This window comes from Homo sapiens, chromosome 6, assembly GCF_000001405.40.
Source record: "Homo sapiens chromosome 6, GRCh38.p14 Primary Assembly".
NCBI classification, from domain to species: Eukaryota; Metazoa; Chordata; class Mammalia; order Primates; family Hominidae; genus Homo; species Homo sapiens.
The window spans coordinates 159,760,258-159,773,797 of record NC_000006.12 but is presented as its reverse complement, the minus strand read 5'-3'; the positions used below and the strand labels follow the sequence as shown (position 1 = coordinate 159,773,797).

The following is a 13,540-nucleotide window of genomic DNA, read 5'->3' as shown; positions in this document are numbered from 1 at the left end:
GACTCATACATTTTCATTTTATTGAATAAGTTATAACTCATTACTCTCATTACTTACTTTGATGCTGAAATTTTTCAATACTTGGGCAGTTATAACCCATTACTATCATTACTTATTTGCACGCTGAAATTGTTCAAAATTTAGGCAGTTACAACCCATTACTATCATAACTTATTTGCACGCTGAAATTGTTCAAAATTTGGGCAGTTACAACCCATTACTATCATTACTGACTCTGATGCTCAAATTGTTCAAAATTCCACTACAGGAAAGTGGAAGCCCCGTAGGCTGCCTCCTGTGTGCTTTCAACATGTCCCTGAGCATGTCCTTAATTTTTTAGCATTTTTTCCCTAGCCTTGGAAAGGGCCATTTCTCCAAACAACCTTAGTTCCTTTTAGTGGATAAATGTATTTAGAAGATCTGGGTGTCAGGACTGCTTGTTGTTACTGGTTTGTCATTGTTTCTAGGTCTGTTCAGTAGAAACTTCCATATGTATTATTTATAATTTTACATATACACACACACTCATGGTAACACCTTGAGTTCATACTGCATTTTGAGTTCTCCAAAATGCAACCTAACACCACAAGCTACATTCTTCTCCCTTTCCGTATTTGTAACTCTCTTCTACAAATGTGAGAATTGGCCAGGTTTGGTGGGTCACACCTGTAATCCCAGCACTTTGGGAGGCTGAGGTGGGAGGATCCCTTGAGCTCAGGAGTTTGAGGCCAGCCTGGGCAACATGGTGAAACCCCATTTCTACAAAAAATACAAAAAATTAGCCAGGCATGGTGGTGAGTACCTGTGGTCCCAGCTACTCAGGAGGCTGAGGTGGGGGTTGCAGTGAGCCAAGATTGAGCCACTGCACTCCAATCTGGGTGCCAGAGTGAGACCCGTCTCCACACACACACACAAAAAAGTTATTGCTTTGCTTTCTATGTCTTGTCTTTACTTATCAAGCTGTTTTTCTTTCTTTTTTTTTTTTTTTGTTGGATGATGTCTCACTATGTTGACCAGGCTGGAGTGCAGCAGCTACTAACAGGCAAAATCAACCATAGTATACTATACAACCTCAAACTGCTGGCCTCAAGTGATCCTCCCACCACAGCCTCCCTAGTAGCTGGGACTATAGGCACCTGCCACTGCACCCTGTAAAAGCTATTCTCTTATATATACTTCTAGAAGCTTTACATTTTTTGCTTTTATTTTTAAATCCACGATTTATCTCAAATTAGCTTTTATATAGGGTGTGAGGTAGGGATCTAGGTTCATCTTTCCCATGTGAGTAATCTGTTATTCCAGCACCATTTGTTGAAAAGACTTTAATTTCTCCATTTCATTCCATTGATGCCTTTGTTGAAAACAAGCATAAGTCTGGGTCTATTTCTGAACTCTGTTCTCTTTCTCTGTCCTTATGCCAAAACCACATTGTCTTGTTTACAACAGCTTTATAGGTAATGTTAAAATCAGAGCATGTAAGTGCTATTTTCTGACTTCAAAATTGTTTTGGCTATTCTGAGTGCTTTGCATTTTATACAGTATTTATTTACACTATTTATTTATTTATTTAGAGATGGAGTTTCATTCTTGTTGCCCAGGCTGGAGTGCAATGGTGCAATATCTCAGCTTACTGCAACCTCCGCCTCTTAGGTTCAAGCAAGTCTCCTCCCTTGGCCTCCAGAGTAGCTGGGACTACAGGCACCTGCTGCAACACCTGGCTAATTTTTTGTAGTTTTAGTAGAGATGGGGTTTCACCGTGTTAGCCAGGATGGTCTCAATCTCCTGACCTCATGATCCGCCCGCCTCGGCCTCCCAAAGTGCTAGGATTACAGGCGTGAGCCACCGCGCCCGGCTGGAAGCTATTCTTTTGTTGTTGTTGTTGTTGTTGTGTCACTATGTTAACCAGACTGGAATGCAGTAGATACTCACAGGTGCAATCATAGTAGACTATGATAGCATTGCCCAGGCTAGACTCAAACTCTTGGACTCAAGCAATCTCTTGCCTCAGCTCTTGAGTAGGTGGGACTACAGGCACATACCACCATGCCTGGCTCCTTTAGTATTTCTTGTAGTGTAGGTGTGCAGGCAATTCATTTTCCTTCATCTAAAAATGGCTCTTCACTTTCACTCTTGTTTTTTTTTTTTTTGAGACAGAGTCTCACTCTGTTGCCCAGACTGGAGTGCAGTGGCATGATCTTTTTTTAACTTTTTGCTACAATTTGCTAAGGTGTAATTTTTCCCTTGTCTATCTTGGTCTTTGAACTTCTTTTCACACCAAATGTGGAAATTTTCTTCAGTTTTTTTCTGCCCCATTCTCTCTCTTCCTTATGTATGAGATTCCTATTCCATGCATGCTAGTCCTATTTATTTTGTCCTGCAGACCACCAAGGCTCTGTTCATTTATATTTTATTTTTTTGAGACGGAGTTTCATTCTTGTTGCTCAGGCTGGAGTGCAATGGCGTGATCTCAGCTCAACGCAACCTCCGCCTCCCAGGTTCAAGCGATTCTCCTGCCTCAGCCTCCCGAGTAGCTGGGATTACAGGCATGCGCCACCAGCCTGGCTAATTTTGTATTTTTAGTAGAGATGGAGTTTCTCCATGTTGGTCATGTGGGTCTCAAACTCCCGACCTCAGGTGATCTGCCTGCATTGACCTCCCAAAGTGCTGGGATTACAGGCATGAGCCACCACACCTGGCCTATTTTTTAATTTAATTTAATTTAATTTAATTTTTTGAGACAGAGTTTTGTTTGTTACCCAGGCTGGAGCGCAATGGTGTGATCTCAGCTTGCTGCAACCTCCACCTCCTGGGTTCAAGCTATTCTTCTGCCTCAGCCTCCCAAGTAGTTGGGATTACAGGCATGGGCCACCACATCCAGCTCATTTTTGTATTTTTAGTAGAGACAGGGTTTCCCCATGTTGGCCAGGCTGGTCTTGAACTCCTGACCTCAGATGATCTACCCGGCTTGGCCTCCCAAAGTGCTGGGATTACAAGCGTGAGCTACCGTGCCTGGCCTGTTCATTTATTCTTCATTATTTTTCTCTGTGTTCTTCAGGTCGTGTATATGATCTATCTTCAAACTTCCTGACCCTTTTTCTTCTGTCTCCAAGATGCTGTTAAGGCCATTCAGAATTTTTTTTTCTTTTTTTTTAGAGATGAGGTCTAACTATGTTGCTCAGCCTAGTCTCAAACCCCCAGCCTCAAGTGATCCTCCCACCTCAGCCTCCCAAGGTGCTGGGATTACAGGTGCGAGCCACCATGCCCGGCCCCATCCCAGTGAATTCTTAATTTCAGATTGTGTACTTTGCAAGTTCTAGAATTTCTATTTGGTTCTTGTTTATATTTTTTCCTTTTACTCCTGAGATGTCCACATCTATTCCTCTATGAAGATTATATTTTCCTTTGTATCTTTAAACATATGTAAAATAGAGCCTTTAAGATCCTCATCTGATAATTCTAGTATTGCAGGGTCTGTTGACTGTTGTGGTTTTTTTCCACCCTGGTTGTAAGCTATATTTTCCTAATTCTTTGTGTATCTAGAAAGTTCTCATTGCATGCTGAACATTATAGTTGCTACATAACTGGACATAGAGATTTTATTATCTTTAGAGAATATATTGAGTTTTGTTTCCACAAGCAGTCAAAATACTGGCAAATCACCTTGATCCTTTTGAGGCTTGTTTTTAAGCTTATTAGTTTGGGTCTAGAGTAGCTTTTACTCTATGGCTTTGGCCCTACCCCTAAACTGTGGTCTTTCTGAGATGTCAATGGAGTGTCCAAGGAGTTCAGTAAGGTTTCCACTCGCTTGTCCAGAACTTTTATCTCCTAGTAATCTATAAAATCTCCAGTTCACCTCTCCTTTGCAGCTCTTTTCTACTAGGCCTTGTAAGCTGTTATCTACAAGCTTAGTATTTGATCAAAGACTTAAGGGGAACCTTTTGCAGATTTCTGGAGCTCTTTTTTTCTTCTCCCCCTTATTCTGCCCCACAAACTCCAGCCATCTCAGAAGCCCCAAATTCTCTGCTTCTTCAGATCACTGAGACCACTGTTTCCAGCTTAGGCTCTGCCTCTCCATAACACAGTTTGGGAAGTGCCCTGGGTAGAGACAGTGACAGTGGGGTTTTCCCTTCTCTCAAGGATCTCAGTCTTACATGAGTATTAGTCAAAACCTGACATACATAAAACAGTGGCTTTATATATTTTCACAAGTTTTATGCTTGTTTATAGTAGGAAATCTAATCTTTGTCAATTACTCCATCATGACCTGAGCCTTTTTTCTTTTCTTTTTTTCTAAAGAAGAGCAATTTATTTTCTTACAGTTCTGGAGGCTGGAAGAGTACCATTCAATCCACAGTACACCTTGGAAAGGGCTCGGGATCTGAATTTTTAATGACCACCTCTAGTTATGGTTGAGGCAGTTGGTCACACAGTGTCTTCCATTGTCTGCCTGTGTTTTTATAGCCTTCTCTGTTGTGGCTGTAAGTCGAGAAGTGGTCAAGATGCCTTGAGCTTCTCATTGCTTCCCATATCCCTAAGCCCTTCCTTCCTTCCTAGCATTCATGCACACAGTTCCCTCTTGGAATCTTGTACTTTTCCCCATTACCTTTTTCACATATTTATGTGTTACATAAAACCAGAGCCATTGCTGCATGCATTTGAGCAAGGTGCTTAACTTCTCAGGGTTTGATTCTTTAACTCTAAAATGTCTATTCTGTTTCTTAAGTTTTACATGTATACTAAAGACAAGAGTGCTTTTGATTTCCCAGTTGCTTTGCCATTAAACTTAGACCACAGGACCCTTCAGCATGAATGACCAATAACCCAATTGTGTAGTACAAAAAGTACAGCTAGGTACCAAAAAAACAACTGGTTTATCTCTGTCACTACCTCTGCCACAGAAGCACTATTTGTGGGCCCTGTTTCTTCATTTGGTAAAATGAGGGGTTGATCCAGAAGAACTCTGAGGTACTTCCCACTTCTAACATTCTCTGATAATCAAGAGTTCACAAAGAAGAGAATACTTACTTCACTTCAGTTAATCAAAGAAGAGATATAAAAATCCTTAAGACAGTCTCTGGCCATAAGGACGAAAGCACCTAAGAAGCAGATTAGTATATGGTCTTTTTAACCTTTTTAAAGCTAATACAGTTTCAGCCATGTCTGCCTTACCTGTAATACCCATATGACAGTTGTGAAATGCATCTGTAAGACCATCACAGAGTATACTGTCAGTCAGTGGCATCTCACCTATCTTTACTCCTGTTCTCAAGTAAGCCAAGTGAGGAGCCTAGAAGTCAGAAATAAAAATGGATTTAGGCTTAGTTGCAATTAGTCTTCTCCCCAGAATACAACTCAAAACTATCTAGTATTTCCTAAGTCTTCATCTAGGCCCCTTTGCAGCCCTTCTCCCCAGTTCTAGGTCCTCAGCCAGGCCAAGGTCTAAAGACCCCTGGAATTAGCAGACTTCATCTTTCCTATTGTTGGGAACGATTACTCTCCTACCTACCCATTTTCAATTCTCCCTCAAACCTACCCATTCTGTGTCCTGTTTCCTTAAGAATTCCATTTATTCTTTCCATCGAGGCAATTAATTATCTGTTAAATGAAGAAATCCTCTAAGGGCTTAAGTAAAGCTAACAATGTGTTACCTATTTCAATGGATGACATAATGTCTACAGTGAGAATAATCAGGCTAACTAAATGATGGGGAGGGATTTCTGAGTAGCGGCCAGTCTTAACTCTCACCAACTCAACAGCAGGTATATTAGAATGGAAAGAGTCATTGATTGGACTTAGAGTCGGAAGAGTTGTATTTGAATGCTGGCTCTGGTCCTCAGTTTCCTTACCTGTAAACTGGGAATGGTATCATCTACCCTATATGGGGCTGTTGTGAACACATGTACAAAAGCACCTGGTAAAGTACTACACAGATGTCAGTATCATCCCATCAAAATCACTCCGATTATTTTTGTTACCTTTAGCCTGCCTCCTCCTGAACCTCAGCAATGGCTGGGCTGAATCAGCTTCTATCTAGGGAATCTGCACCTCAGCCCCTGAGCTGCATCAGTAGGAAGCAGGGGGTATAGTTTTTCTTTCAACCACTATGCCAGTTTGAGGTATGGAACTTGGTGAAACAAATCATGCCTGGCAAACCTACTGGAGAAGGGCACCACTTGGTGGTCCTCTTTTACATGTTCTATACCCTGAAAAGGTCAAAAAGTCTGGTCCCCAGGATCTCCTTGTCATGTGCAGGAAGGTAAGTGGCAACATCTGTTTTTTGCCTTTTACTCACAATGGGAAAGAAATTTAAAACCAAGGACATCAAGCAACTAATATGAATTTAATTCAGAAAATATTACATGCTTCATTAATAGTTTAGAAAAAGTATATTCGGTTCCAATCACACTGGTTGATAAACTTCTTATCAACCCGGATTTCCCACCCAAACTGAAGAATACTTCACATTCAAGTAGGGATCAAGGTTGTCATTTCTGTTTATTTGTTCACTGTTTGGTTCCAGCTCTGCTATGCATCTGTTTACTCTGTTCTGGCATAGACATGAGTTTCTCAGTGTGAGGTCAGTGAAAGCCACCTCATCAGAGAGGCCTTACCTTGCTCATATTTTCCATGCCTCCTGCAACCACAATGCTGGAGTCTCCTATCCCTATTGACTGGACTGCAAGGCACACAGCTTTTAGGCCTGACCCACAGATCATCTGGCAGCTCCATGCTGGAACAGAGTAGGGAATTCCTGCACCCACACTGGCTTGTCTAACAGGATTCTGCCCACAGCCTAGAAAGAGGAACACAGAGGACTCTTAGCAATCAAGGAGAAAGACAAAATGTCACAGTGAAAGTGTGTGGAAAATTGCCAGTTGGGTTACCTGCCACTTCTGAAAGCCTACAGGTCAAGTAAGTGCCCACTGGAGGCAAAAAGGCCTGTATACACTCTCCACCTGTCACAGTCTAGCCCTTGAATATATACTGCCTTGTGCTGCTCTGTAGGTATTTCATAGATATAAGCTTTCTCCTCCATAAATAAGTCATTAATACATTAAGAAAGAAGTGTCATCCTCATCTTTTGATATGGCTTAAATAGTTGGGCGCGGTGGCTCATGCCTGTAATCCCAGCACTTTGGGAGGCCAAGGAGGGCAGATCACCTGAGGTCGGGAGTTTGAGACCAGCCTGACCAACATGGAGAAACTCTGTCTGTACTAAAAATACAAAATTAGCTAGGCGTGGTGGCGCATGAGTGTAATCCTAGTTACTAGGGAGGCTGAGGCAGGAGAATTGCTTGAACCTGGGAAGCGGAGGTTGCGGTGAGCTGAGATCACACCATTACACTCCAGCCTGGGCAACAAGGGCGAAACTCCGTCTCAAAAAAAAAAAAGTGCGGGGGGGTGCTTAAATAAGCATTATCAAACCTATGTCTAATAAACACAGGATATAACCTAGGCATTATCAGTGTTTCTAACTAGGGCCATTTGCTCCCAAGATCATGGCTTAAGACACTTGAGAAGAAAAAGGGTTACTTAAAAAGGAAAACCTTTGATAATAAGCAGTTCTGTTCTTGCTTAGTATTCATTACACTATGCTTAAATGGTTATATAACAAAATATATACAAACTCAGAATTCACAAATACCTTTTTTTCTCATTCTGAGTACTGAAACACAAATATCTTTTCATAATTCAACTATGGGACTTCCTTTAGTTGGGAAGAAATACATAATTTACTTAAAGTAGCACAGAAGAGAATGGAGTTAAAAGTTTCAAATATTCTCAATCGCCATTGTCTGTTATCAGAGTCAATGGTAAATGTTTATAAAGTGGTTACTCTATTCCCAGTTTCAGATATACTCAAACCTACCACCCTTCCTTGGAGAGTTTGTGGGGAAGAACTAGCAAATAAGTCGCTGATAAAAACTTAGAGATTATATTCATCACAATGTTATCAATCTGGGATTAGGCTGGAAACTAAAAACGGGTAAGGTTACTTGAGACTGAAAACATATGCAGGATCATATACATATTAAAAAGACAGGCCCAGTGCGGTGCCTCAGGCTGTGAGCAGTGGCTCACACCTGTAATCCCAGCACTTTGGGAGGCCGGGGGAGGGGGGCGCATTACTTGAGGTCAGGAGTTTGAGACCAGCCTGGACAATATGGTGAAACCCCCCCTCTCTACTAAAAATACAAAAATTAGCTGGGCATGGTGGTGCACGCCTGTAATCCCAGCTACTCAGGAGGTTGAGGCAGGAGAATTGCTTGAACCTGAGACAGAGGTTGCAGTGAGCCGAGATTGTACGGCTGCACTCCACCAGCCTGGGCGACAGAGTGAGACTCCATCTCAAAAAAAAGAAAAAGAAGAAATGAGGTACAGGGCTGGGCATGGTGGCTCATGCCTGTAATCCCAGCACTTTGGGAGGCCGAGGCGGGTGGATAACTTGAGGTCAGAAGTTCGAGACCAGCCTGGCCAACATGTTGAAACCCCATCTCTACTAAAAATACAAAAATTAGCTGGGCACAGTGGCAGGCACCTGTAATCCCAGTCACTTGGGAGGCTGAGGCAGAAGAATCACTGGAACCCGGGAGGCAGAGGTTGCAGTGAGCCAAGATTGCGTCACTGCACTCCAGCCTGGGCAACAGAGTGGGACTCCATCTCAAAAAAAGAAAAAGAAAGAAATGAGGTGCTAACACAATTAATAATGCTAGCATTTAGCATACTACGAGCTTCATGAGAATGAGAATTTCTATCTGATATGAACATTGCTTATCTCCAGCTGCTAAAATAGTGCCTGGCACAAAGTAGGTGCTCAATAAACATTTGTTACATGATTGTAGAAGGTATCTGGCTCAAGGAATAGGACAGATCTAAGTTCAAGTGCTAGCTCCACTTCAAACTGTGACCCTGGTAAGTCATTTAACCTCTTAAACTCTCATTTATTCATTTGTAAAATGAAGATAATAGGATATAACAGACTTGTGAGGAAGATTAAATGAGGTAATGAAAGGAAAGCATTTAGCACAGTGCTTTAAAAGCCTTAAACTTAGTAGACATGCACCGGTAGTCCCAGCTAGCTCAGAAGTTCAAGGGCATGGTGCACCATGATTGTGCCTGTGAACAGCCATTGCACTCACGCCCAGGCAACAGACAGACTCCACTTCTACAAAAAAATTTAAAAAATTAGCCAGGTGTGGTGGCCTGCTCCTGTAATCCCAGCTACTCCAGAGGCTGAGGTGGGAGGATACCGTGGAGCCCAGGAGTTTGAGGTTATAGTGGGCTACGATTGATTACACCACTGCATTCCAGCCTGGACAACAGAGTGAGACCCTGTCTCTTTAAATAATAATAATAATAATTAATTAATTAATTACGAGTGTTCAAACCCAAAGAATCAGAAGATGGGGGCACTCTCAGGACTCAGCTATATTCCTCTGGGGAGTGATATGCCCCATTTGCAAGGGGCATGATGTGGCACCTATTTTCCAAGCTCAGAACTGAGCCCTAAGAGGGCAGGGAACTTACCTGTATTGTTGGAACCATACTCCCAGCACTAAGCACAGTATGGGGCACATAGGAGGAACTGAATACATTTTTGTTGAATGAGTGACACTTTGAGGTAGTAAGGAGGAGCAGGCATACTTTCCTATGCGTCAGGCTGGCCCTGCTGCTGCTTCTTCTTCTTCTTTTTAAAAGGAGTCTCACTCTGTTGCCCAGGCTGAATGGAGTGCAGTGGCACAATCTCAGCTCACTGCAAGCTCCGCCTCCCGGGTTCACGCCATTCTCCTGTCTCAGCCTCCCAAGTAGCTGGGAATACAGGCGCCCGCCACCACACCCGGCTAATTTTTTGTATTTTTAGTAGAAACGGGGTTTCACCGTGTCAGCCAGGATGGTCTTGATCTCCTGACCTCATGATCCGCCCACCTCGGCCTCCCAGAGTGCTGGGATTACAGGCGTGAGCCACCGGGCCCGGCCGGCCCTGCTTCGTAAGAATGAAAAGGCAGTGGGCCGCCTGTAGTCCCAGCTACTCGGGAGGCTGAGGCAGGAGAATGGCGTGAAACCGGGAGACGGAGCTTGCAGTGAGCCGAGATCACGCCACTGCACTCCAGCCTGGGCCACAGAGAGAGACTCCGTCTCAAAAAAAAAAAAAAAAAAAAAAAAAAAAGGAAAAGAAAAGGCAGTGTAGGTGGTGTAGGTCAGTGGTCTAAGTTCATTCACAAAAAGCATATTAATGAAGCTAAGTCTTTTTGTTTGTTTAGAGAAGGGGTCTCACTCTGTCACCCATGACGGAGTGCAGTGACACAATCACTGCAGTCTCAAACTCCTGGGCTCAAGTGATCCTCCCACCTCAGCCTCTCCAGTAGCTGGGAGGCACAGGCCATCATACCTGGCTATTTTATTTTTTGTAGAGACGGGGTCTTGCTTTGTTGCCCAGGCTAGTCTCAAACTTCTGGACTCAAGTGATCCTTCCTCCTCCGCCTCCCAAAGTGCTGGGATTACAGGCGGGAGCCACCCTGCCTGGCCAAGAAGCTGAGTCTCAAGCTGGATAGAAGCTACTGACAGGGCTGGAAGAAGGGGGCCAACAGGAGGAATCATAACAGAGGGAACTCTGAGCAAAAGCAAGGAGGCAAGAACTTGAGTGAGTGAGAGAGTGTGTGAGTGTGTGAGAGTGTGTGTGTGTGTGTGTGTTTATGGGCTGTTTCTAATAAGCCTGACTTCTCCTGGAATCACTGAGACTTACCTGCTGCCAAGACATGTCCAAAGATGACCTCAGACACATCTTCCGGAGCCACAGTGGCCCTCTTCAAGACTTCTTTGATGACAGTGGAGCCCAGGTCCTGGACAGGAACAGCAGCTAAGGCACCATTGAAGGAACCTACAATAGAAAGGCGGAGAGCGTGGACATCACAAGCCTGCGGGTAATACGGGAACCACCTACGAGCAGGGGAGCCTCATGACCCTGTTTGGCAAGGCCACGCGAGGAGGCAGTGCCCTCTCCTCCCACACGTTCCTACACCTGCTGGTCTGAGCAAAGGTCAAGGTGGGTGCCACAACTCGCAGCAGCCGAGGGCTGGACAGGCGACCTCCAGAACGGCCTAGGGACGCCGCTGTAGCCCTTCTATTTCCCCAAATCCGAAGGACTGGATGCGACCCCATGCTTCCCAAACAAAAGGAACCGGCGGGTCAAGGGCGTTGAAAACCATGCGGCACGAAGGAGACGAAGTCACGACTTCTAGCCATTGTGTGACAGCCCGACCCCAGCCCAAAGCCGGGCTCAGACCACCTAGCAGTTCCGCCCCTGCCGCAGGCATTACCGATGGCGCCTCCCGGAGCCGGCCAATCAGGGGCCCCGGAGGAGAACACCTCCCTACGCCAACCAATGGGAGAGGCAGGCCACGCGATGGCTCTACCCCGGGAGCCAATCCAAGCACGAGGGACGGAGTGCGCACATCGGGAGAGGAGAGGGTGGGGCTGTAGCACCAGGTCAGGGAACGCGGGAGCCGCAGGGTTCCAGGGATCCCGCGGCTCCTCGCGGCTTGGCCTGACCGGCTTCCTCCACATACGCCCCTCTCCTACACAAGTCCGGCCCTCGGCGCTCCTGCCGAAGCAGCAGGCGCCTCGGACTCTGCGCGGCTCCCGCCGGCCACTCACCTATGATGGTCCGCGCCGCCGAGACGATGACCACAGGATCTGAGCCTGCATTCATCTTGCTTCTCCTGCCGCCGTCTGCCCTGCGCTGCCTGCAAGCTAGGCAAAGCTCCTCCTCGCAGCCCACAGGCCTGCCGCGGGCGGGACCTGAGGTAGCCCCGCCCCTCGCCCTCCACCTCCCCGCGCACCACCTCCCCGCGCATCCCACTGTGCGCAGGCGCAAGGCCGGAGCAGGGGCGGGCGGAGGCGCGCGGGGCGCGGGGCGCGGGGCGCGGGGCGGAAGTGAGGCCGGGGCGCGGGGCGCGGGGCGGAAGTGAGGCCGGGGTCTGGGCTTGCGGGCAGAACCGCGGACCTCGGACGCATTTACAGAGCGCCTGAAACCCCAGTGTTTCTGGACACCCCAATGTTGGAGTTCCCCGACTTGACGTCTTGGGCTTTTTTTTAAAAAATCTTAGGGTTTCTCGAAACAGTAAAGACTGGGGGGTGACAAAGACTTATCTCTCGTTCAGCTCAGGACTGGAATCCCACGGGCGAGAATCTCGAGTGCGAGCCCGGCCCGCGGCGGGTCTCAGCACAGCTCTGATGGGTCCTTTTGCTCTCGGCGGCTTCGGGAGGTCCTATGCGTTTCTCCTGGCGCCAGTCATTCGCTCGCGTGAGGGGCTTGCTAGGAGCGTCTCGGTGCGAGCCCCCTGCCTTCTAAGATCAACTCTGGCTGTGAACGGGTGAGGACGCCGGGAGCGTCTTAGCGTCACAAAAGTTCCTTTGGTTGACGTTTGGACAGTGAAAGGAGCATGTAACAAGTGGGGTCAGTTTTGTTTAAAACCCTTTCTGACTTCCCAGCCTCTTACTGGGCAAAGTTCATAATTTTTCTGAGCTTTCTAGGGTTTCCAGGCAAGCTTATGAGGGGCCACCGTTACAGCAACTTGTTGGGAACACCTGGATAGTGGAACAAGAAAGCTTTGTCACAAAGTCATGAAGGGGAAAACTGTTGACGGACCTGGAGAATCTTCCTGAAGAACTTTAAAGTTGATTGAAAGAATCATTAAATCCTGGAAACCTACATTAAGACTTTGCAGAGATATGCGGATGGGTCAGATAAATCAGAGAAGGTAAAGAGTGTAGGCCCCAGAGGTGGGGCAATAGAGAAGGAAAAAAATTGCATAACAGTGCAATTTCAGGAGAAATCTTTAGGGTCTGGAATAGTGGTGAAATCAGCTGTCTACTCTGCTAAGAACTCAGCAGCACACTGAAGTCTCTTCAGTTGTCTTCAATGTGTTTCCTGTCCCCTAACATATCTGAGTCCAAGGAATTCAAGGAATGCCTCCCGTGGCTTTTGCTCTATTCTATCCCATTTTCCCCTTACTCCCTGGCCACTTCTGAGTCTTTGTGGGCTTACTCTCACATCCCCTTAACATGTTCCCCAAGGCTCCTACTTTGCACCAGCTCCCTGGGTAATACCAGTCATTCCTACGGCATCAATCACCACCTGTATACTGACAAGTCTGAAATCCTTACATCTAACCTCGTCTCCTAAGCTGACTGACCCTCTTCATTTAAATTCTTACAAGCACATCAGGTCGGGCACCTTGGCTCACACCTGTAATCCCAGCACTTTGGGAGGCCGAGGAGGGCGGATCATTTGAGGTCAGCAGTTTGACACCAGCCTGGCCAACATGGTGATATCCCGTTTCTACCATAAAATAGAAAAATTAGCCGGGCGTGGTGCCGTGCGCCTGTAATCCCAGCTACTGGGGAGGCTGACATGGGAAAATCGCTTGAACCTAGGAGGCAGAGGTTTCAGTGAGCCGAGATCACACCACTGCACTCCAGCCTGAGCGACAGAGAGAAACTGTCTCAAATAAATAAAATTTCCTATAAGCACATCAAA

The 13,540-nt window shown here is 46.0% G+C and overlaps 2 protein-coding genes and 1 long non-coding RNA gene across 4 annotated transcripts in view, besides 4 other annotated features; 2 read left to right on the top strand and 1 right to left on the bottom strand.

The window, feature by feature from the left end:
• The window catches only part of ACAT2 (acetyl-CoA acetyltransferase 2), a 17,068-nt gene extending 5,315 nt beyond the window's left edge, over nucleotides 1-11,753 (bottom strand). The window contains exons 1-4 of one of the 2 annotated variants that reach the window (NM_005891.3): nucleotides 11,656-11,753; nucleotides 10,745-10,879; nucleotides 6,612-6,793; nucleotides 5,170-5,287 (exon numbers count right to left, since the gene is read on the bottom strand). In NM_005891.3, coding sequence (NP_005882.2) covers nucleotides 5,170-5,287; nucleotides 6,612-6,793; nucleotides 10,745-10,879; nucleotides 11,656-11,710 — 490 coding nt within the window. In that variant the 5' untranslated portion in view covers nucleotides 11,711-11,753. Of the gene's footprint in view, nucleotides 1-5,169; nucleotides 5,288-6,611; nucleotides 6,794-10,744; nucleotides 10,880-11,018; nucleotides 11,320-11,655 lie in introns of those variants that run through there. The other variant, NM_001303253.1, reaches the window with a different exon arrangement.
• Nucleotides 9,872-10,372: an enhancer, noted in NCBI's record as "H3K4me1 hESC enhancer chr6:160184458-160184958 (GRCh37/hg19 assembly coordinates)". NCBI's record gives its function as "activates a minimal SCP1, AML or CMV promoter by ChIP-STARR-seq in naive H9 embryonic stem cells {active_cell/tissue: H9 hESC(naive)}" and the evidence as "EXISTENCE:reporter gene assay evidence [ECO:0000049][PMID:30033119]".
• SOD2-OT1 (SOD2 overlapping transcript 1) lies at nucleotides 11,466-13,540 on the top strand. Its single transcript, NR_037166.1, has 2 exons — nucleotides 11,466-11,804; nucleotides 12,162-13,540. It is a non-coding gene; the product is annotated as an SOD2 overlapping transcript 1 (long non-coding RNA).
• Nucleotides 11,517-13,540, top strand: part of SOD2 (superoxide dismutase 2) — a 93,213-nt gene continuing 91,189 nt past the window's right edge. Inside the window, exon 1 of the mRNA NM_001322817.2 lies at nucleotides 11,517-12,761. The gene's annotated coding sequence lies outside the window, so the exon portion shown is untranslated. The remainder of the gene's footprint in view (nucleotides 12,762-13,540) is intronic.
• Nucleotides 11,781-11,930: a silencer, noted in NCBI's record as "silent region_17755". NCBI's record gives its function as "represses an Ori minimal core promoter by ATAC-STARR-seq in GM12878 lymphoblastoid cells {active_cell/tissue: GM12878}" and the evidence as "EXISTENCE:reporter gene assay evidence [ECO:0000049][PMID:35858748]".
• Nucleotides 11,951-12,010: a silencer, noted in NCBI's record as "silent region_17754". NCBI's record gives its function as "represses an Ori minimal core promoter by ATAC-STARR-seq in GM12878 lymphoblastoid cells {active_cell/tissue: GM12878}" and the evidence as "EXISTENCE:reporter gene assay evidence [ECO:0000049][PMID:35858748]".
• Nucleotides 12,441-12,500: an enhancer, noted in NCBI's record as "active region_25391". NCBI's record gives its function as "activates an Ori minimal core promoter by ATAC-STARR-seq in GM12878 lymphoblastoid cells {active_cell/tissue: GM12878}" and the evidence as "EXISTENCE:reporter gene assay evidence [ECO:0000049][PMID:35858748]".